Source organism: Homo sapiens, chromosome 9 (assembly GCF_000001405.40).
Source record: "Homo sapiens chromosome 9, GRCh38.p14 Primary Assembly".
Classification (NCBI taxonomy): Eukaryota; Metazoa; Chordata; class Mammalia; order Primates; family Hominidae; genus Homo; species Homo sapiens.
Window position 1 is genome coordinate 111,769,170 of NC_000009.12, and position 22,764 is coordinate 111,791,933.

The 22,764-nt window shown below is 36.4% G+C and overlaps 1 protein-coding gene across 14 annotated transcripts in view, besides 1 other annotated feature; it reads right to left on the bottom strand.

Annotated features, from left to right (window-relative positions):
- Positions 1 to 22,764, bottom strand: part of SHOC1 (shortage in chiasmata 1) — a 108,767-nt gene that overhangs the window by 82,999 nt on the left and 3,004 nt on the right. For 8 of the 14 annotated variants that reach the window (NR_109816.2, XM_006716975.3, NM_001378211.1 and 5 more), the window contains exons 2-5: positions 22,205 to 22,285; positions 16,743 to 16,866; positions 11,761 to 11,848; positions 6,622 to 6,806 (exon numbers count right to left, since the gene is read on the bottom strand). Coding sequence is in view for 12 of the 14 variants with exons in the window: in XM_006716975.3 (XP_006717038.1) it covers positions 6,622 to 6,806; positions 11,761 to 11,848; positions 16,743 to 16,866; positions 22,205 to 22,249 (442 nt within the window). In the remaining 2 variants the exon portion in view is untranslated. Of the gene's footprint in view, positions 1 to 6,621; positions 6,807 to 11,760; positions 11,849 to 14,218; positions 14,325 to 14,629; positions 14,796 to 16,742; positions 16,867 to 22,204; positions 22,286 to 22,764 lie in introns of those variants that run through there. The other 6 variants (XM_017014340.2, XM_011518302.3, XM_011518303.2 and 3 more) reach the window with 6 other exon arrangements.
- Positions 14,490 to 14,659: an enhancer, noted in NCBI's record as "experimental_105998 CRE fragment used in MPRA reporter constructs". NCBI's record gives its function as "activates a minimal promoter by MPRAs in K562 erythroleukemia cells, with activity observed for both the introgressed and non-introgressed 9:114546024 variant alleles {active_cell/tissue: K562}" and the evidence as "EXISTENCE:reporter gene assay evidence [ECO:0000049][PMID:34662402]".

Here is a 22,764-nt window from a genome sequence, read left to right on the forward strand (position 1 = left end):
CGATTTTTGTATCTATGTTCATTGTTGATATTGGTCTGTAGTTTTCTTTTTTCTTGTTGTGTCCTTGTCTGGTTTTGGTATCAGGGTAATGCTGGCCTTGTAGAATGTGTTTGGAAATACTCCCTCCTCTTCAATTGTTTAGAAGCATTTAAGTAGGATTGCTATTAGTTCTTTAAATGTTTGGTAGAATTCAGCAGTGAAGTCATCAAGTTCTGGGCTTTTCTTTGATGAGAGGCTTTTTACTATGGCTTCAATCTTATTACTCATCATTGGTTTGTTGCGGTTTTCTATTTCTTCATAGTTCAAACTTTTTTTCCTTTTTTTGACATAGGGTCTCACTCTGTCACCCAGGCTGGAGTGCAGTGGCATGATCACAGCTCACTGCAGCATTAACCTCCCAGGCTCAATCAATCCTCCCACCTCAGTCTCTCAGGTAGCTGGGACTACAAGCACATGCCACCACAATTGGCTAATATTTTTTGTAGAGGTGAGGTTTCACCATGTTGCCCAGGCTGGTTTTGAACTCCTGACCTCAAGTGATCCACCCACCTCAGCCTCTCAGAGTGCTAGGGCACAGGCATAAGCCACCATGCCTGTGATTCAATCTTGATAGGTTGTATGTGTCCAGGAATGTATCCATTTCTTCTAAGTTTTCCAATTTGTTGGCATATATTTGTTCATAATACTTGCTAATGATTCTTTGTATTTCTGAGGTCTCAGTTATTATGTCTCCTTTTTCATTTCTGATTTTATTTATTCAGGTTTGTGCTCTTCCTACTTAATCTAGCGAAAGGTTTTATCTTCTGTTTTTTTTTTGTTTTTTTTTTTTTTTTTTTTTTAGTCTTAGTTTCATGTATTTCTGCTCTGATCTTTATTGTTTCTTTCCTTCTACCAGTTTGGGGTTTGTTCTTTCTTTTCTAGTGCCTTGAGGTGCAACATTAAGTTATTTTATTTGAAGTCTTTCTACTTTTTTGATACAGGCATTTATTGCTATAAACTTCCCTCTTGGTACTGGGCTCTTGCCATACCCCATAGATTTTGGTATGTTTTATTTCCATTTTCATTTATTTGTTTGAAGAAATTTTAAAAGTTCCTTCTTAACTTTTTCATTGGCCATTTAAGACCATGTTGTATAATTTCCATGTGTTTGTGCATTTTCCAAAGTTCCTCTTGTTACTGATTTCTAGTTTTATTTCATTGTGGTCAGAAAAGCTACTTGATATGATTTCTATTTTGAAAATTTTTTCAGATATATTTTGTGGCCTAAGATATGGTCTATTCTGAAGAATATTCCATGTGCTGATGAAAAGAATATGTATTCTGCAGCACAAAATACACAGTATGAAGTTAGCTATCATATGGGTGAAATGTTCTGTAAATGTTAGTTAGGCCTATTCTAGTGTGTAGTTTATGCTCTTTGTTGATTTTCTGTCTGGATGATCTGTCCATTACTGAGAGTGGGGTGTTAAAGTCCGCTACTATTATTATATTGCAGTCTACCCTTTTAGATATTAATGTTTGCTTTATATACCTAGGAGTTCTGGTGTTGTGTGCATAGATATTTATAATTGTTATACCCTCTTGCTTAATTGACCCCTTTCATGATCATCTTTGTCTCTTTTTACAATCTTAGATTTGTAGTCTATTTTATATAAGTATAGCTACTCCTGCTATTTTTGGTTTCCAGTTGCATGGAATATCATTTTTCACTGCTTCTCTTTCAGTCTGTGTGTCTTTATAAGTGAAGAGAGTTTCTTGAAGGCAGCATATAGTTTGGTCTTGCTTTTTTAATTCCTTCAGCCATTCTAAGCTTTTTATTTGAAAATTGAGACCATTTACATTCAGTGTTACTATTAAGTAAAGACTTACTACTGCCATTTTGTTGCCTATTTTCTGATAGTTTTAAGACTCCTTTCTTTTCTTTCCTACTGTCTTCTTTGGTGGTTACTTTCTCTGATAGTACGTTTTAATTTGTTGTTTTTTATTTTTAGTGAATATATTGTAGGTTTTTGGGCTGTGGTTACCAGGAGGGTTACAAAAAACATTGTATAGATATAAAAAGTTATTTTAAAGAGATAATATTTTGGATTACAAAGAAAGGAATAGAAACAAAGACAAACACACATACACACAAAATGCCACATTTTGACTTAGTTGTCTCAATTTACATATTTTTATATTACATCTCTTAACAGGTTGCTATAGCTATTGTTTTTGATTGGGCTTCATACTAGAGTTATGAGTGCTTACACACCACAATTATTGTAACAGAGTATTCTCAGTATTCTAGAGAATTCTTAAAATTAAGTATTCATGTACTTAATTTTACCAGTGGGTAAATAAAGGAAAGTTTTCTTTTTGTATGTTAATGTTGTTTTTTTTCCTTTCAGATTGAAGAACCCCCTTTACCATTTACTGTAAGATGATGGGTCTGATGGGGGTGGATTCTCTGAACTTTAGTTGTTTGGGAAAGACTATTTCTCCTTCATATTCAAAGGGTAATTTTGCTGGATACAGTGTTCTTAGATGGCTTTTTTTTTCTTTGAGCACTTTGAATATGTTGTTCCACTCCCTCCTGTCTGTATGGTTTTTCATTGAAAAGTCTGTTACCAGAAGAATTGGAGGTCCTTTATATGTTATTTGCTTCTTTTCTCTTGCTGCTTTTGAGATCCTCTCTTTGTCCTTGACCTTTGAGAGTTTGGTTATTACATACCTTGGGGTAGTCTTATTTGGGTTGAATCTCTTGGGTATTATCAGACCTTCCCGTACTGGAGATTTATATCTTTCTCAAGCTCTGGAAAATTTTGTATTTTTTCTTTCTGCCCTCTGCCTTTGCTCAGCTCCCTTTTGAACATCAAGAATTCTTAGATTTGGTTTTTGAGGTAATTTTCTATATCTTGTAGGCAGTTTTTGTTCTTTTTCTTTCTTTTTTCTTTTTTCTCCTCTGACTGTATTTTCAAATAGCTGGTCTTTGAGCTCACTGATTCTTCCCTCTGGTTGTTCCATTTGGATGTTGAGAGCCTCTAATTAGTTGTTCAGCTCAGCAAACGTATTTCTCAGTTCCAAAATTTGTTTGAGTTTTTAAAGTTAACTTTAAAAATTTAACAAATTCTCTTTGTTAAATTTCTCCAGCAATTTTCTGAATTGCTTTTCTGTATTATTTTAGAGATCACTGAATTTCCTTGAAACTGCTCTTTTGAATTTTTGGTCAGAGAGCTCACAAATGACTGTCTTGTTAGGGTCGGTCACTGGATTTTTCCTTTGTCCTTTTGCAGAGGTCACATTTCCCTATTCAGTGTTGTTTCTTGTGGGTATATGTCTATGTCTTTGCATTGAAGGATTGGTTATTTATTCCAGCTTCCTCTATTCAACTTGTCTTGGTTTTTATTGGATATATTTTCTTAGCAAATCTTCACTACTATTGCCTTTTTCTTGGCTATAGGTGATATCTTAAGCCCAGGTTTGCCTTGCCTCTAGCAAATGGTCAGGGCACTGTCTGCCCCAAATGGGAGAGTCTGAAAATGATTATCCCAACAGTGACAGAAGTCTGGCTAGAGGTTCGTGCCCAAGGGACCTGTGGCACAAATTAGCTATTGTGATTTGGCTCCTTTGCCTGAGTTACCGAGCAGAGTTTCCAGGGCTGGGGAAGGTAGTCCCTTCTCCCCTCTTTGTCTCTCCTTTCAGGCAGTCATGATGCTTTCCACAGGTTAAATAAAGAAGTCTCCTGCCAGGGAATCCAAGATGGAGGGAAAGCTAGTTGACTATGCCACTCTCACTTTTTCCAGCATAGAAACCATGAGTTTGGGGAAGATTTTCCATGTGGTTGTTGTCAGGCAGAATGGGCAGGGTGGGGCATCATGGATATGGAAGTTGGATTCTCCTACCGTCTGCTTGAAGTTTTTTCACTTCTCTGTGTCCCTAGGATCTGTCTCATCCTCATATTTGAGATGTGAGTTGTTGCTAGTGAAAATTTTGGCATTGTATATTTGTTTTTGGTTTCCCATATGAGCAGTGAAGCCAGCTTGCTTCTGTGCCACCATTTTAAAACGATAAGTCAGATTACTGCTTTTTATTGTAAACTTTAACAAACTATTTGACTCTCTAAACTATATGCATATGCAACTTTATTTATTTTATTTTATTTTTATTTATTATTTTTTGAGATGGAGTTTCACTCTTGTTGCCTAGGCTGGAGGGCAATGGTGTGATCTCGGCTCATGGCAACCTCTGCCTCCCAGGTTCAAGTGATTCTCCTGCCTCAGCCTCCCAAATAGCTGAGATTACAGGTGCCTGCCACTACGCCCAGCTAATTTTGTATTTTTGGTAGAGACAGGGTTTCACCACGTTGGCCAGGCTGGTTTCGAACGCCTGACCCCAGGTGATCCACCCGCCTCAGTCTCCCAAAGTGATGGAATTACAGGCATGAGCTACTGTGGCTGGCCTAACTTTATTTTTTAAAATAAAAATAAAAGCTACATTTATATTTGTTTATATGTTCCCAGGATACCTAGAGAGATGCTTAAGAGTTTCATGTATTAACAAATAATATGTGAACATTGTAGAAAAATTAGCAAATATCAATAAACCAACAACCATAAAAGAAAACCAGCCACTGTTTTATGTTTTAAAGATATATGTGTTTTGAAATTATAATTTAGTAATTATTTATAATTCTTATAAGACATAGCATATTTACAAATCCCCAAATATACTATGTTCCTTTTGATTTAGACAATAAGACCAAATTATCTACAAATCTGGCAGCAATCAATATAATTGCAAAGAAAATAAATAAAATTAAAAATCTAAATTTATAAAGTGATGTCCGGTGACACAGGACACCTGAGGAAATATAGGATATGGACAATGTGTATGCATTTGGGAAATTCAAGCATATTTTCTCTCAGTCAATAGTTGATTCTAGCCGACAGTAGCTTCTAGTTTGCCACATTTATACTACTATGTTTGTGTAACCCATTAGTTTTTATAAGCCATCTCTTTAAATATACTTATATAAACTTACATATATTAGTTTATCCCCACAAAAAATTATTAAAAAATAGAAGAATATATAATAGAAATAAATTATAGAACAAAATTTAAAAATCTTAAAAATTTTCTCCCAAATCTCAAAACCACTTTTTCTCCAGACAGGGTCTCACTCTGTCACCCAAGCTGGAGTGCAGTGGCACGATCATGGCTTACTACAGCCTTGAACACCTGGGTTCAAGCAATCTTCCCACTTCAGCCTTACAAATAGCTAGGACTACAGAACTGCCACCACACCTGGCTAATTTTTAACAATCTTTTTGTGGAGACAGGGTCTTGCCATGTTGCCCAGGCTGGTCTCAAACTCCTGGCCTCAAGTGATGTTCCACTTTTTACGAGTAGACTTGGACTGAAAATTCAAGTCTTCTGACTCCAAATTCAGGCTCTTTCTACTATATCATGCTCTCAAGTTTTAGTTCTTAATGCAACTAATCTCTCTATCTCTTCCAACTATAAGAGGAATTTCTCTCTCTCTCTCTCTATATATATATCATCACACAGCTATTTGCCAATGCTAAAAATTTTATACATAATTTATATATCTACATAAAAATAACAGTAAAAGAATCAAATTATTTTTCATGTTGAAGCTGTAGCATTTCTTAAATGATAGTAATAATCACATAATAGAACCTTAAGTTCTATAATTTAAAAAAAGAATAGGCTGTTATACATACAAGAAAGGCAATTTTCAGCAAGTTTTTACATGGTTGAAAGAATTCAACATCCTCTAGTAAGATGAGACATTTGGAATCCAGTTTGAATAAAATATACTTAAAAAAAAATTTTTTTTTTGAGATTCAGTCTTGCTCTTTTGCCCAGGCCAGAGTGCAGTGGCGCGATCTCGGTTCACTGTAACCTCCGTCCCCTGGGTTCAAGTGATTCTCCTGCCTCAGCCTCCCAAGTAGAGGGATTACAGGTGCCTGCCACCATGCCTGGCTAATTTTTGTATTTTGAGTAGAGATGGGGTTTCACCATGTTGGCCAAGCTGGTCTCAAACTCTTGACCTCAGGTGATCTACCCACCTTGGCCTCCCGAAGTGCTGGGATTACAGGCATAGTAAGCCACCGTGCCCGGCCTACTTTTAATTATTTTTGAGAGTATGTTTGTAAAACTGAGTATATTTCCTAACTTAATACTGGAACTATTCCATCTCCACTTTGAACCTTGGTTTCACATAAATTAGATGAGACTGAAAACATTTATTATGTTTTAAAAACTAAAATATAATCATCACTTCATAATATAGTAATTTAATATTACACTGGATTGCTATATCATGGGATCTTAAAAAGATGCCAATGTCATTATAGCAGTATGTTGAAGGCATACTATGATCAAATCTCTGCAGGTTGTTTTGAGGCCCAGCAAATTAAACTCCAAAAATAACCCAACTTACAAAGAGGATTAATATGAATGAGGAAATACTGCCCTAATGTGGCAAAGCTTAGAGTTATGCAGGTGGATCTTTAATAAAAAATTTTTTATTCAACTCAAACAAAAAACTCACTGAAAAGAATATGTGTATATCAGTAAGAAATGTTTTACAACAATATAAAATAAACGTTTTACCTTGGTTCTGGTTTTGAAGTGCTGAACATTTTTCTAAACAACTGACAGGGGTAAAGACTTCATTGTAGTCCATGTGGGTGTATAAACTGACCTCCTCTACTTCAATTTGGGAGTCTGGATTTGAACTTGGAACAACTTCCTCAAATTCACAATTAATCTGGGTCACCATTCTTGTAATTGTTTTTCTGTGACAATATAAAATTACTAATGTTATGTATGTCCTATTTTAAAACACTTTTATTAGTAGATAATATATGTCCACTGTGGAAAAAATTATCAAATTCCAACAGACACAGAGAAGAAACATCTATATTCCCATCATTCAAGATAAATATAAAAAGTATGTAAATTTCTCAATTAAAAAAATCTTTAAACAATAGTGGACTAATGACAACAGTATTCTATAACCTGTTCTTTTCTGTAAAAAAAATGAAGAATGAACACATTTACATGTCAATCAATGTACATTCACCTAATATTTGAATGGATAAACAGGGTATCAGTAAATCATAATTTATTCAACCAATTCTCTATTGTTGGAAATTTAAGTTTGTTATAATTGCTTGCTATTATAAGCAACAATGCAAAGAACATCTATATGCACTAATAATCTGAAATATATTTCTTCAAAACAGAAATGATAAAGTTAAAAGTATACAGATTTTTAGGTTTTGCCACACATTGCCAAACTGCCCTTGTGCTAGATATTCAATGTCGTTCCTCAATAAAATTACCCAGCCTTTTATGTTCTGTTCCGTAACCTGGGAAGCTAACCTCTATGAACTAACCAAGATTCCTTGTTCTCTGGCTTCTAGATGGGTTCAGCCATGGAAAGCACTGGCAGAAGATCAAAGGTGAGGGAGACAGGTTGGAATATTATTCCTCCCAAATACTTCTCTGTTAGGCCACAGCTTGGAATTGGCTGCACTCTTCCACCAAAAGTTACATCTTTTGTCAGACAGCCCTACTCCTGTAGTTCTTACTAGGTTGGTAACTGCCCAGGCACCTTGTTCCTTCAACCTTAGGGTGGTAACAACTTTGTAACCGCCCAACGGGTTCACCTTGCCCGCTGCCTAGACAAAGCTGATTTATCAAGACGGGAATTGCAATGGATAGAGACGCAGAGCCAGCTGTGCGGGACACCGGTCTTTTATTATTACTCAAATCAGTCTCCCTGAGCATTTGTGGATCAGAGTTTTTAAAGACAATTTGGCAGGTAAGGGCTTGGGAAGTGGGGAGTGCTGACTGTTCAGGTTGGAGATGGAAATATAGGGGGTGGAAGTGAGGTTTTCTTGGGGTCTTCTGCTCCTGGGTGGGATCGCAGAACTGGTTGAGCCAGATTACCAGCTAGGTGGTATCAGCTGATCCATAGAGTGCAGGGTCTGCAAAATATCTCAAGCCCTGATCTTTGGTTTTACAATAGTGATGTTATCCCGAGGAACAATTTGGAGAGGTTCAGACTCTTGCAGCCAGAGGCCGCATGACTCCTAAACCAAAATTTCTAATCTTGTAGCTAATTTGTTAGTCCTACAAACGCAGTCTGGTCCCCAGGCAAAAAGTGGGTCTTTTCAGGAAAAGGCTATTATCAATTTTGTTTCAGAGTCAAATCATACACTAAATTCCTTCCCAAGGTTAGTTCAGCCTACACCCAGGAATGAACAAGGACAGCTTAAAGGTTCGAGGCAGGATGGAATCAGTTAGGTTTGATCTCTTTCACTGTCATAATTTCCTCAGTTACAATTTTTGCGAAGGCGGTTTCAACTTCCTACTGTTGCTAGTCCTGAGGACATCTTTTTGGCTCTTTTAACCTTGCCCTTACCTGTTTCCTGATTGATAACAGGTATATCTGTATCATACCATTAGAATGGCTGGCATTACAAGAGATCTTCCAATAGATAAATATATTATTGGCAACTTAGTTATACATCCTAATATATGTTTTTCCTAATATCCTGGAATATTTCAGCCCTAATAATACCCTTGTACAGACTGAAAGAAACAAAATCAATATAACTCTCCAATATAATTGGAGAAAAGACCAATTGTGTCATATCTTAAAATCATAGGTGGAGAAAGCTTTAGAATTTATCCTTTACTCTAAGAAAATACAAAGTAGAAGAAAAAATATTTTAACTCTTCCATGTCCATATTATTCATTAAGATCATTGATTCCTATGTGGATCGTTATATACTGAACTTAGTGCTTACATAGGTGCTGTCTTTTTAAAATAAATGTTGCTGACAGGGTCAGCACTCTATAGCAATAATTGGTACTACAGTTTTGAGACTACCTAGTCAATTTTCTTTCTGTAGATATACAAGATCTATGAAGATCAGTGTTTCCTGGCTCTCCTCATCCACCTCCCTGTCCAATATATTTATTCTGTTTTCACTGGTGCCTCCTCCTTTGCATAACCTGTGGACACTGGTCTTTTCCAGGTTTCTACTCTAAATTATCTTTGCTTTTCTTCTATATCATTCTTTTTGAGTAAGTTCATCTACTCCTATTCATTCATTTGCAAACTTAACAAAACTATTTATTGAGTGTCTACAATGTGCTAACACCATTCTAGATGCTGGGAATGGGGTGGTAAACAAAACAAAGTTCTTTCCTTCATGGAGCTTATCTGCTAAAAGGAAGATAGACAAATAAGTATATAATATAATTTCAGGTGGTAAAAAAATGTTATGAATGGGCTGGGCACAGTGGCTCACGCCTGTAATCCCAGCAGTTTTGAGAGGCTGTGGTGGGTGCATCACCTGAGATCAGGAGTTTGAGACCATCCTGACCAACATGGTGAAACTCCATCTCTACTAAAAATACAAAAAATTTAGCTGGGGGTGTTAGTGGATGCCTGTAATATCAGCTACTCGGGAGGCTGAGGCAGGAGAATCACTCAAACCTGGGAGGTAGAGGTTGCAGTGAACCAAGGTCACACCACTGCACTCTAGCCTAGGTGACAGAGAGAGACTCTGTCTCAAAAAAAAAAAAAAAAAAAAAGAGACAGAGAGAGAGAGAAAGTACTGGTGGGGAATGGTGGCTCACACCTGTAATTCCAGCACTTTGGGAGGCCAAGGCGGGTGGATCACTTGAGGCCAGGAGTTTGAGACCAGCCTGGCCAACATGGTGAAACTCCATCTCTACTAAAAATACAAAAATTATCTAGATGTGGTAGTGCATGCCTGTAATTCCGGCTACTCAGGAGGCTGATGTACAAGAATCACTTGAACCCAGGAGGCGGAGGTTGCAGTGAGTTGAGATTGCACCACTGCACTCCAGCCTAGGCGACAGAGCGAGACTCTGTGTCAAAAAAAAAAAAAAAAAGAGAGAGAGAGAGAGAGAGATGAAGCACAGATACATGTGACAACACGGATAAACCCTGAAAACATTATATTAAGTAAAAGAAACCAATCACAATAAAAGCACATATTGTATGATTCCACTTATGTGAAATATCCAGAATAGGCAAATCAACAGACAGAAAGTAGATTCTGATTCAGTTAGTCCGTTTTGGAGCCTGAGATTCTGCATTTCCAATCTATTTCTAGGTAGTGTTAATGCTGCCAGTCCAAAGGCCTACTTTGAGTAACAAGATGCGAGATGATCTCTAAGATCTTTTTTCACCTTATGAAACAATAATTTAGTTTTCACCAAACTAGCCTAATTATTGCCTTTGCTAAACACTTATTGCATATTCCTGTGTCTATGCCTGGAGACATGCTGTTTCCTCTGCCCAAAATGCTTTCTCTCAAGTTAATTTCTCTTTGATTGCCCAGCCCAAGCTCAATTCCTACTTCTGTGAAGCTGACCTCTCCTAGTTATAAATGCACAGCTCTACCAATCTAACTCATAAGGTGAAAAGACATCTTAGAGATCGTCTCGCATCTTGTTACTCAAGGTAGGTCTTTGGACTGGCAGCATCATTACCACCTAGAAATAGATTAGAATTGCAGAATCTCAGGCTCCAAAACAGACTAATTGAACCAGAATCTGCATTTTAATAAGATCCTCAGGGGATTCATATGTACAGTAAAGTTTGAGAAGCACTGATCCATCATCATCATACTGATAAAATGAGGGTCACAGGTAAAATGACCAGCAAAGTAGTTAGCACTTGACTTTTCCAGTCAAGGCTTAAAAGCTACATATTTTAATTCATAGTGCAGAGCTTTTTTCACTATGCCTTTCTGCTTCCTCGCTGCTAGGAGTTTACTCATATGATACATACTTCTAATTGGCTATATGCCTTGTAATAGACTTTATGTTGGTCATCCTATATTACCATTTAATTCTTGCATTGTTAATTTTTTCTATGTTTATCTATTATTTTCCTAACCTGACTTTAAATTCCTAGGTGACAGAGATGGTATATTGGGCTTCACTGTATCCAGAGTCTAGACACCTTTCAATGTTTTTTTGTTTCTTTTAAGCACAACTAAGGAAAATTTAAATTACAGAAACTTGAAAATGTGAATAATAACAAAATCTCTCCTAGGCTGGATCAGCGTTCTGTGCATGAAGTGAAGCAACAGAGTAAATTATTAAATTGCACCAAAATCTCTACTTTATGCCTACGTTTACAATGTAGAACAGGTTAGATGTTCCTCCTCATATTATGCTCTGGGTGCCTATCTCTGTCATTGTACTTTGCACATTGTATTGTAATTATTTCTTTATAAAACTCTATTCTTTGTTTTCTTGTGTTCTTTGAAGGTTAAGACAATGTCTTATTCATTTTTATATCTGTATCTAATATATAGGATGATAATGAATATTTGATGAATGCTTAAATAATAAATAATGTTTTGACCAAATATATTACAAAATAGCCTTAAATCTGTATTTATAACATAGGTGGAAAAAAGACTAATTTTAATATAAAGGACTTTTTATAGCTACTTTCTACAGAAAGTTTACTAATTGATAAACTAATTGAAAGTTTACTAATTAAAAAAGAAGATATAAGTCACTCTTATTAACCACTCCTTTGTGGTTCAAATTAGGACCTTTTCTTCAGATAAAAGAAGAAAATCCATGAAGAGATAAAGGAAGAGATTTTCCCTCTTTAGGTATCTGGAGAACTTACTGTTTATCTTCTACTAGATGTAAAAGAGAAATTTGAGATTAAGGATACATACTTCTCAAGGAAATCCTCCACAAAGAAACTTGCTTTCCATTGGTCCAAGACTGAGGTATCTGTCATTCCCGGAACTGAAACAGCTGAGACTAGAAAGGATAATAGTTAACATTAATGTCTAGAATTTTCTTTTACACTTAATTCAAGGAAGCCAAACATTCACCTTTTACATTATGATTTTATCTTTATTTATTCACAAATGTATTTTTTCAAAGTGATACCTGATTCCAAATATTTGAATAGTCATCCTCATTATCATCAACCTACCCCCGCCCCTCAATCAACTACAGTTAGAACAATATCACCTGAACATATCACCCTCATTTTATAGCCTCTCTTTTGCTTATACAGCACTACCATCCCAAATAGTCCCTTTCAACTGCTCATGCTATACCTCATGAAGCTTCTATTAACCATTCCAGCTCAAGCTGATACATTCTCCTTGAAGGGCCATAATATTGTCAGTAGCACTTGGGTACTCAACCATATACAGTCCTATATTTAAAATTGTAGGCGGCACGTAGTGGCTCATGCCTGTAATCCCAGCTCTTTGAAAGGCTGAGGTAGGCAGATCACTTGAGGCCAGGAGTTCGAGACCAGCCTGGCCAACATGGCAAAACCCCATCTCTACTAAAAATACAAAAATTAGCCGGGCATGGTAGTGCATGCCTCTAGTCCCAACTACTTGGAAGGCTGAGGCAGGAGAATACCTCGAACCTGGGAAACAGAGGCTGCAGTGAGCAGAGATTGTGCCATGGCACTCCAGCCTGGGCACCTGGGTGAGAGTGAGACTCTGTAAATAAATAAATAAATAAATAAATAAATTTGTATGTGTACATAGCTTATCTCCCAAATTAGACCTTTGGTTCCTTAAGGAGAAAGACCATGTCATATACTACTGTCAGAATATACAACTGAGTATTCCACCTACCACCAGTGTTACTTCTTACTAGTTTTGTTACCTTGAACAAATCATTTAACATCTAAGCCTGTGCCTCATTGAAAAACATGAAAAAAAATACAAGAGTTTAGTGGTACTTTGGGAGGCTGAGGCAGGTGGATCATGAGGTCAGGAGATCCAGACCATCCTGGCTAACACAGTGAAACCCTGTCTGTACTAAAGATAGAAAAAAATTATCCAGGCGTGGTGGTGGGTGCCTGTAGTCCCAGCTCCTGGGGATGCTGAGGCAGGAGAATGGCATGAACCCGGGAGGCGGAGCTTGCAGTGAGCCAAGATAGCACCACTACACTCCAGCCTGGGAGACAGAGTAAGACTTCATATCAAAATAAAAAAAGAAAAAAAGTTTAGTGGTTAAGAGTACAGGTTCTGGAAACACTCTGCCTAGATTTTAATCCTTGGACTGCTACTTATTATCTATATGATCTTGGGTAAACATCTCAACCTTTTTGCACCTCTGTTTTTTTTATGTACAAACTAGGAAGAATAGCCTTTTCAGAGTGTCGTTGTAAAGATTAAATGTAATGTGGCATGCAAACTGCTTAGAACACTTTAGGTTCCATAGCCAGTCCCATAACCATTGCTTTCAAAGAGTCTTGATTCTCTTGCCTCTCTTTCTCTTGTACTAACTTAGAACAACCCCTACTCTACACTTTCTGTGTATGTACACTAAAACAGTTGAAAATTACTGGAAAAAAAATCACCCAGCCGTGCTAAAGGAACTCATTCCAAATTATGACTACAAATTTCAAATGGCCACCCAACATTGACAGATGATAATAGTATACCCCTTAATAAAACTGGCTTTCTTGACCACAGATGAGGTCTAAAAAAAAAACAAAAACAAAAACAAGAAACAAAAACAAAACTGGCTTTCTTGCTCTTTAAGACAGCTAATTCACATATTACCCCTTCAAATCTTTAGTGTCCATTCCATTATCCACTTTCAGTGTATGATCTTACCTTCACATAGAAAACTGATACAGAGAACTACCTCATTTTCCACCACCAATTCTACCAACTTACTGGCATAAGTACCTGCAAACTCTATCTTCCTATCTACACAGGGGAAGAATTATTTTAGTTCCTACTGAATACTAACTTCTCTAACTGTGCTCTTGATCCTATCCCCTTTTACTCCTGTTATCCTTTTTCTTTCCTGCATCATCTTATTCTCTTTTTACCAAAATTGTTTCCATTGGCAAACATTTTACAGTCTCTCTCATCATGTATTTTTTAAAAATCACACATAAAAAACAAAAAAGAATAACTCTTTACTCCACTTCTCCCATAAGTTAGTCCATCATTTAAAAATTTTTCTTCATAGCAAAATTCCCCAAAATATTCAAATTCACTCTCTCACTTTCCCACTTCCCATTATCTTCTCAACATACTCCAATCATATTCCAATATATTCCTATCACACTCCAATTATATTCCAATCATATTAATAACCAATATTCCAGGCAAACCACTCTTATCAAAGTCATCAATGACCTACATTTAGTCAAGCTAATGGTCAACTCACTATCCTCACATAACTTGAGCTTTTAACAGGAGCCCAACACATTGGACTACTACTTCCTTCTTGAAGCACTTTCTTCTTTAGAATTCTATGCCAGAATCATTTGATTTTCCTATCTCGCTTCTTAGGTAACTCCTTTTACATCAGACTTTTAACTGTTAGAGTGTTCCAGGGCTCTGTCCTAGGTCTTCTAATCTATTTATACTCATGCTCTCAGTGACTTCATCTAGTTTCACAGGTTTATGTGTAATTTACATATTGAAAACTCCAATTTGAAGCTCTAGCTTGAGAAGCAGGTTCACTGTATACCGATTACCAACTTGTTTGAGTATGGTGAGACAGAATACCCATACACAGGAAGTTACATGAAGTAGATTTATTACTTACAGATAGGTAACAAGGGACAACAGAAGCCTAGGATTCATTGTGAACTGGTCCCGTAAGGCTCAGGAAAGCTGCCCAGGGCAAATGAAGTCTTCATATGCCACACTTGCACAGCAGCTGAAGAACCCCAGAAAGCAGTCCACCTGGGTTTGATGTTCTGAGATCAAAGGACGTGCTAGGCTAAAGCACTGAAGGACATCCTGTTTTGTGGGTGGGGGAAGACTGGCACAGAGAGTAGGCTGTTCTGGCCAGCTCCTCCTTTATCTCAGAATGTTGCATTCCCAGCACATTTTATAGTTATTCTTAAGAACTTCAAGTGAGGAAAGGAGGCCAAGGCCACCCAGAAAACTGTCCTGAGCAGCTGTGCTCAAGATTAATGTAACCAATTGCCTTCTTAATGATCCATTTAGATGCCTAATAATCTGGCCGAAGCACAGCTGTTGACTCTGACCACAAATTGGCTTCTCTATAAGCCTTTCCCTATTTTAGGAAATGGCACTGTCATCTACCTGGTTTCTCAGGTCAAAAACCTAGAAGAAAATCTTTATTCTTCTATTTTGTGACCCCCTCACTGTTGACAATTTGTAAAATAAGCTAGATTTTAAGTACATCTCACATCTCCGTTACTATAAGCCTTGTCCAAGACACTGTAATATTTTATCCAGAGTTTAGATTCTGGGCTACTACAATAGCTCCCTGATAGATTTCTCTGTCTCTCCTCTTGACTTTTAAATCCCCACCCTTTCTATTCTCCAGACAATCATAACTATCTTTCTACAGCATAAATCAGGTTATATCATTCCCTTTCTTAAAATTGTCCAGTGACTTCCCATATCCACAATTGTCTTAGTCAGTCTATATAGCTATAACAAAAATATCATAGACTCGGTGGCTCAAACAACAAACATTCATTTCTCATAGCTTTGGAGGCTGGGAGGTCCAAGATTAAGGCACCAGAAGATTCAGTGTCTAGTGAGGGCCCACTTCCTGGTTCATGGGTGGCTGTCTTCTTGCTGGCCTCACATGGCAGAAAGGTCAAGGGAGCTCTTTGGGGTCTCTTTTATAAGGGTACTAATCCCTTTCATGAGGACTCCATCCTCATGTTCTAGTCACCTCCCAAAGGCCCCACCTTCAAATATAAATTTGGGGGGACACAAACATTCAGTCTATTGCAGCTGTAATCAAAATAAACAAACAAACAAACTCACTGTTATGGCCTACAAAGCCTTATTCGGAAATTGCCTACTTCTCAGTCCCTTTTTCATTACCCAGTCACAATAGCTTAATTTTCTGGTCCTTACACACATCAAGTTCGTTCTTGAGTCAGGAACTTTGCATTTGCTTGAAGGGCTTTTCCCCCATATTTTTCATGGTTGTTGCTTTCCCATGATTCAGGTCTCAACTCAAATGTCCTCCTCCTGAGAGAGACATTTCCCTAACTATCTTAGGAAATAGCACTCCCTACTCCCGCAATTTCATATCACTTAGCATTACTGTCTCTTCTCTATACATTTATCAATATCAGATACTAGTTTATATATTTAATGGTTTTGTTGCTGTATCCTCCTTACCAGTCTAAAACCCACTGAGAGCAGAGACTACTTCTATGTCTTTTAAGTACTGTGTCCTTAGTACTTATAACAGTGCTTGGTACATAATATATACCAAGTAAATGCTGTTAACCGACTTGACTCCTCCAAGGATGCTACTTCTTTACTAGTCCATGACTTGATACAAACAAAAAACTATTTTATACATATATGCTTAAAAATAATTTTATATTCGGTGTGCCATTACAACTTGAAGTAGGCCTCAGATAGTCAAGAAAAATTCTATTATAATAAAACAAATGTTTACAATGTTAGACTATTTTAAGTCTTCATCATCTACATATCTTTTATTTGGTTTATTCATATCAAATATAAGCTTTCCAATTCCTTATTTAGTTACCTAAATTCTATAATAAAATACTAAGTTGTTAACTTCTTGGAATTCTGACATGAGTAGATGCAATGAGTTTTTAATTAGTAAAACATTGCATATTCTTAATAATTTGCTGTGCTAAACTCTGAAATGGCTTTTAAAACACATTTTTAAGAAATGAAAACAAACATACCTCTCGTCCATGGCCTCCTAAATTTATTATCAGTAACTGCTACATGGTAACTTTCATCTTGATATAAACATGAAGGGATTCGAAGCAATAAAGCATCTCTGTAAAACTTCTTTCTAACCACATTCTGTGGAAGAAAGAAAGATTAGAAAATCTTTTAACATGTACTATTTATCAATATTCAGAATATATTAAAATTCTCTATACTTTGAAACTTATATGATTTTTCTTTAAAAGTAATACATGCTCCTTATAAAAAACAGGCATACCTAATCCCAGCACTTTGGGAGGCCCAGGCGGGCAGATCACAAGGTCAGGAGATTGAGACCATCTGGCTAACACGGTGAAACCCCATCTCTACTAAAAATACAAAAAAATTATCCGGGCGTGGTTGTGGGCGCCTGTGGTCCCAGCTCCTCAGGAGGCTGAGGCAGGAGAATGGTGTGAACCCGGGAGGTGGAGTTTGCAGTGAGCCGAGATCGCGCCACTGCACTCCAGCCTGGGCGACAAAGTGAGACTCCGTGTCAAAAAAACAACAACAAAAAAAACAGGCATCCCTCACTTTATTGTGCTTTATTCTATTGTGCTCTGCAGATTTTTTTTTTTTTTTTTTTTTTTTTACAAATTGAAGCTTTGTGGCAACCCCATGATGAGCAAATCTGTCTCTGCCATTTTTCCAAAAGCATGTGCTCACTTCCTGTGTCACATTTTGGTAACTGTCCCAACATTTGAAACTTTTCCGTTATTATTCTATATGTTATGATAATCTGTGATCAGTGGTCTTTGATGTTAGTTACCATTGTAATTGTTTGGGGGTGGCATGAACTGCACCATATAAGACAGCAAATTAATTGATAAATGTTGTGTGTATTCTGACAAAACAGCCTTCTGTTAGAAGAAGATGCCAACGAGGACTTTCATAGCTAGAAAGAAGTCAATGTCTGTGTTCAAACTTCAAAGGACAAGCTGACTCTCTTGCTAGAAGCTAATGCAGTTGGTGATTTTAAGTTGAAGCTAATGCTCATTTACCATTCTGAAAATCCCAGGGCCCTTAAGAATTATACTAAATCTACCCTGTCTATGCTCTATAAATGGAATAACAAAGCCTGGATGATGGCACATGTATTTACAACATGGTTTACCGAATATTTTAAGCCTATTGTTGAGACCTACTTTTGGGGGAAAAAAAAGATTACTTTAAAAATATTACCGCTTGTTGATAATGCACCTGGCCACCCAAGAGCTCTGATGGAGATGTACAAGGAGATTAATGTTTTCAAATATGTATTCTGCAGCCTATGGATCAAGGAGTCATTTCAACTTTAAGGTCTTATAGAAATAAATACATTTTGTAAGGATATAGCTGCCATAGATGGTGATTCCTCTGATAGATCTAGGCAAAGTCAATTGAAAACCTTTGAGAAGGGAGAACCATTCTGGATGCCATTAAGAACATTCGTGATCATCAGAGGAGGTCAAAATATCAACATGAACAGAAGTTTGAAAGAAGTTGATTCCAACCTGCATGGATGACTTTCAGGGATTCAAGACTTAAGTGGAGGAAGTACATAACTATAGAGGTGATAGAAATAGCAAGAGAATTTGAATTAAAAATGGAGCCTGAAGTTGTGGTTGAATTACTGCAATCTCATGATAAAACTTGAACAGATGAGGAGCTGCTTCTTATGGATGAGCAAAGGAAGGGGTTTCTTGAGATGGAATCTGCTCCTGGTGAAGACACTGTAAACATTGTTTAAATGACAACAAAGGATTCAGATTATTCCATAAACTTAGTTGATAAAGCAGCAGCAGAGTTTGAGAGGATTGAGTCTAATTTTCAAAGAAGTTCTGTGAGTAAAATGCTATCAAACAGCACTGCATGCTACAGAGAAATCTTTGGTGACTGAAAGAATCAATGTAGCAAACTTCATTGTTGCCTTAAGAAATTGCCACAGCCACCACTCTGATCAGTCAGCAGCCGTCAACTTCAAGGCAAGATGCTCCACCAGCAAAAAGATTATGACTCACTAAAGACTCGGGTAATTATTTATTATCATTTTTTAGCAATAAAGTATTTTTCAATTAAGTTATGCCCATGGTTTTTTAAGACATAGTGCTACTGCACTTAATGGACTATAGTATAGCATAAACATAACTTTTTTTTTTTTTTTTTTTGAGACAGAGTCTCGCTCTTGTCGCCCAGGCTGGAGTGCAGTGGCGTGGTCTCGGCTCACTGCAACCTCAGCCTCCCGCGTTCAAGCTGCACTCCAGCCTGGATGACACAGCGAGACTCCATCTCAAAAACACAAAAACAAAAAAATGAGAATAAAAAAAAAAAAGCTATTCTCCTGCCTCAGCCTCCTGAGTAGCTGGGATTACAAGCGCCCACCACCATGCCCGGCTGATTTTTGTACTTTTGGTAGAGACAGGGTTTTGCCATGTTGGCCAGGCTGGTCTCAAACTCCTGATCTCAGGTGATCTGCCCGCCTCAGCCCCCCAATTATAAACATAAATTTTATATGCACTGGGAAACCAAAAAATTCTCATGACTGACTTTATTGTGATATTTGCTGTTGCTGAGGTATGCCTGTATCAGATAACACAGAACCACATAACTGAGAAAGTCAAGGCCCCTTGTAATATCAGTAGTAGTTTGATGTATTTTCCTACAGATATTTTTTCTAGGTTAAGCTAAAATATATGTGTAAGTACTTGACAAAAAACGGGATGACATCATTTACATATCACTTAGCAATGTGCTTTTTTTCACTAAACAGTATAATGTGGATGCTTAACTTTCATTTATCTTTGCATTATTTCCTTTGTTACAACCAGCAAATTCATTTCTAATTTTTAAAAATATATCTAATAAAGGGAACTGTTTCTTTAAAGGAATGTTAAATCAGTTAATAAGTTTGTAAATGAGTCAGTGTTCTCTTTAATTTGGCTCTGCCTTTACTTTCCAACTTTATCTTCCATTACTCTAGTCTCTCTAAATAGACTAGTCTCTTCACTACCTCCCTTAACGTTCAGTGGTCACTCGCTGGTTAACACCATGGTCTACACTGTACCTCTGAAAACGCCCTGTTATTCTTCTCTATCAAGATCCAACTCATCTTTCAAGGCCCATCTTAAACAATATCTCTTCTATGAAGCCCTTCCCCAGTGATTCTAATTTCTCACATAATTCATTATTCTATGTATTTGGACAAATGATAATTTCTTGCATTATTCTCAAGACTTTAATGTTTGCTGAAGGTGTTATAACATATTAAATAAGAAGTCCTTATTATCCAAGGATAAGTGGTAAAGAGAAAAAGATTACTTAAGGTAATTTATATCAAATAAGGACCAAAGATTCACAGTAAATAGGAAAAAAAAGTTGATTAGTATTTAATCTAAAAAATGAAAGTTATAAAAAGTTTTATAACAAAATTTCATTTATAGTTATAAATATTACTTTTTGTTATAATTTTCCCACAAACTGTATTATATAATGATATGCATGATACTACTCATTGCTTCACCTTTGATCATGAAAAAGATATTTTTAGAAAATGTTTGAAGATTTTAAGTTTTTTTAAGTTTTTTTTAAGATTTTAAAATTTCAAGGCATCTCTGACTCCTTTGATATTCAAACCATTCTCTTCCTCTTGTCTGTCAACTGATCTAATTTTGCATGAACTTCATAATATCTTTACTTGTTATTTGAGCGGTTCCTCAACACCATTTTCATGAACTTGACCAAGTCCTGCATCTTTTGCAAGATTTGCCATTGATTAGTATAGCGTTTGTATTATATCACGGACTGTTGGATACCAGCAGAAACCAAAATATCGTGGGCAAAAAAAAGTTTCAGGATGTTTGAATACAGACTAATTTTGCAAGTGGCCAATACACATATTTTGTTATGATGACTTTTGATTCCTACCATGGATATCTTTTAACTACACATTTGCTTCTCTCAGTTATGAGGGAATAATAAAACCAGAAGATGCCTGCATGTCTTTCTTATTTCCTGTAAAATGTAGCACAGTTTTATTATACTGGAGTAATTTTTTTCCTTGGTAGATGGGGTCAGTGTTACAAAGAAAAAAATTTAACTTGTCAACTAAGATCATAAGAACAACAGACTGTTGCATGACAATTGTTCTAGTTAGTTTCCTAACAACGTGTCTGGGCTTGAAATTTAGCTCTGACAATTATAAAAGCTATTTAACTTATCTGGAAACTAGTTTTCTAACCTATAAAATTGTAAAACCTGTAAAATAATAGTATCTGCCTCATGAAGTACTTATGATGATAAAATCATAGTAGGATGGTGCAAAAGTAATTGTGGCTTTTGCCATTACTTTTAATTAACTAATGGCAAATTAACGGCAATTACTTTTGCACCACCCTAATATAATCCATCAGAAGGGCAAAGTATCTGTCCCACAGAAAGTGGTCAATGCATGCTATTAGTATGATTTTATAGAGATAACTGGGATTCTTTTTTCTCCACTCATTTCAAGAAAGATCATTCCAGATTGTTAGCAAAATCACCCCACACTTGTCAAGAGTTTCCATTTTTTTCTCCTGACAGCTTTGGATTCATTTTAATTGTTTGATTATTTTAATTTAATAATTTCCTTCCAAAAGTGGCTTTTTTTTTGAGACGGAGTCTCACTCTGTTGCCCAGACTGGAGGGCAGTGGCGCAGTCTCGGCTCACTGCAACCTCCACTTCCCAGATTTCAAGTGATTCTCCTGCCTCAGCCTCCCAAGTAGCTGGGATTACAGGCGCCCACCACCATGCCCGGCTAATTTTTTTGTATTTTTAGTAGAGACAGGGTTTCACCATGTTGGCCAGGCTGGTCTCGAACTCTTGACCTCATGATCCACCCGCCTCGGCCTCCCAAAGTGCTGGGATTACAGGCGTGAGCCACCGTGCCCAGCCAAAAGTGGCATTTTAAAGACATTAAATGTGGAAAATAATTTTCAATAAATCTAAAAGTAATTAGACTAATAAACAATCTAAGGATTACTGCAAAATTATCATATACAAGTTGAGCATCCTTAATCCAAAAATTTGAAATCCAAAATCCAAAACTTTTTGAGTGCCAATATGATGCCAATGGGTGGTGAAGATACTGGCACTTTTGCTTTTTGATGGTTAGTTCAGTGTACACAAACTTTGTTTCATGCACAGAGTTATTTAAAATATTGTATAAAATTACCTTCAATCTATGTGGATAAGGTGTATATAAAATATAAATAAATTTTGTGTTTAGACTTGGGTCTTATCCCCAAGATATCTCATTTTATATATATAAAAATATTCCAAAATCTGAAAAAAAATCAGAAATCTGAAATACTTTTGATCCTAAGCATTTCAGATAAGGGATACTCAACCTATATTGAATGTAGTTAACACTTCTTACATCATAATTCTCAGTAAATAGACAGTAAGCCACTAACACTCTACCTCATATAAATAGTCTATTGCATGATATTTCAATGCTGAAAACATATCTTCTTTCTTTCAAAGCAGTGTAAATTTCAACATCTGGAAATACAAAAATTAAAATTAAACACTGGTAAAATAGCAAGTCAAGTGCAGAAAATCTCAATCACAAAACTTTGGTTTACTCATTTTTAAAAAGGCTCTGAATGATAATCATTGGTAAAAATAATATACATTACTATAATTTTAAATCTAATATGAAAATAATGTATATTGATAGAAAATTGAATAATTTCTTATTGTTTAAATCATATAGCTGTTAGTTGGTTGGTGGAAATATATTTAATGTGATCATTTTGTTGCAAAAGAGGTTGAAATTTACAAGATTGCCGGAGTGGTGTAACCATATTTCTCAAGTGGTCTTGAGAATAACCATATTTCTCAAGTGGTCTTGAGAATAACCATATTTCTCAAGTGGTCTTGAGAATAACCATATTTCTCAAGTGGTCTTGAGAATAACCATATTTCTCAAGTGGTCTTGAGAATAACCATATTTCTCAAGTGGTCTTGAGAATAACCAT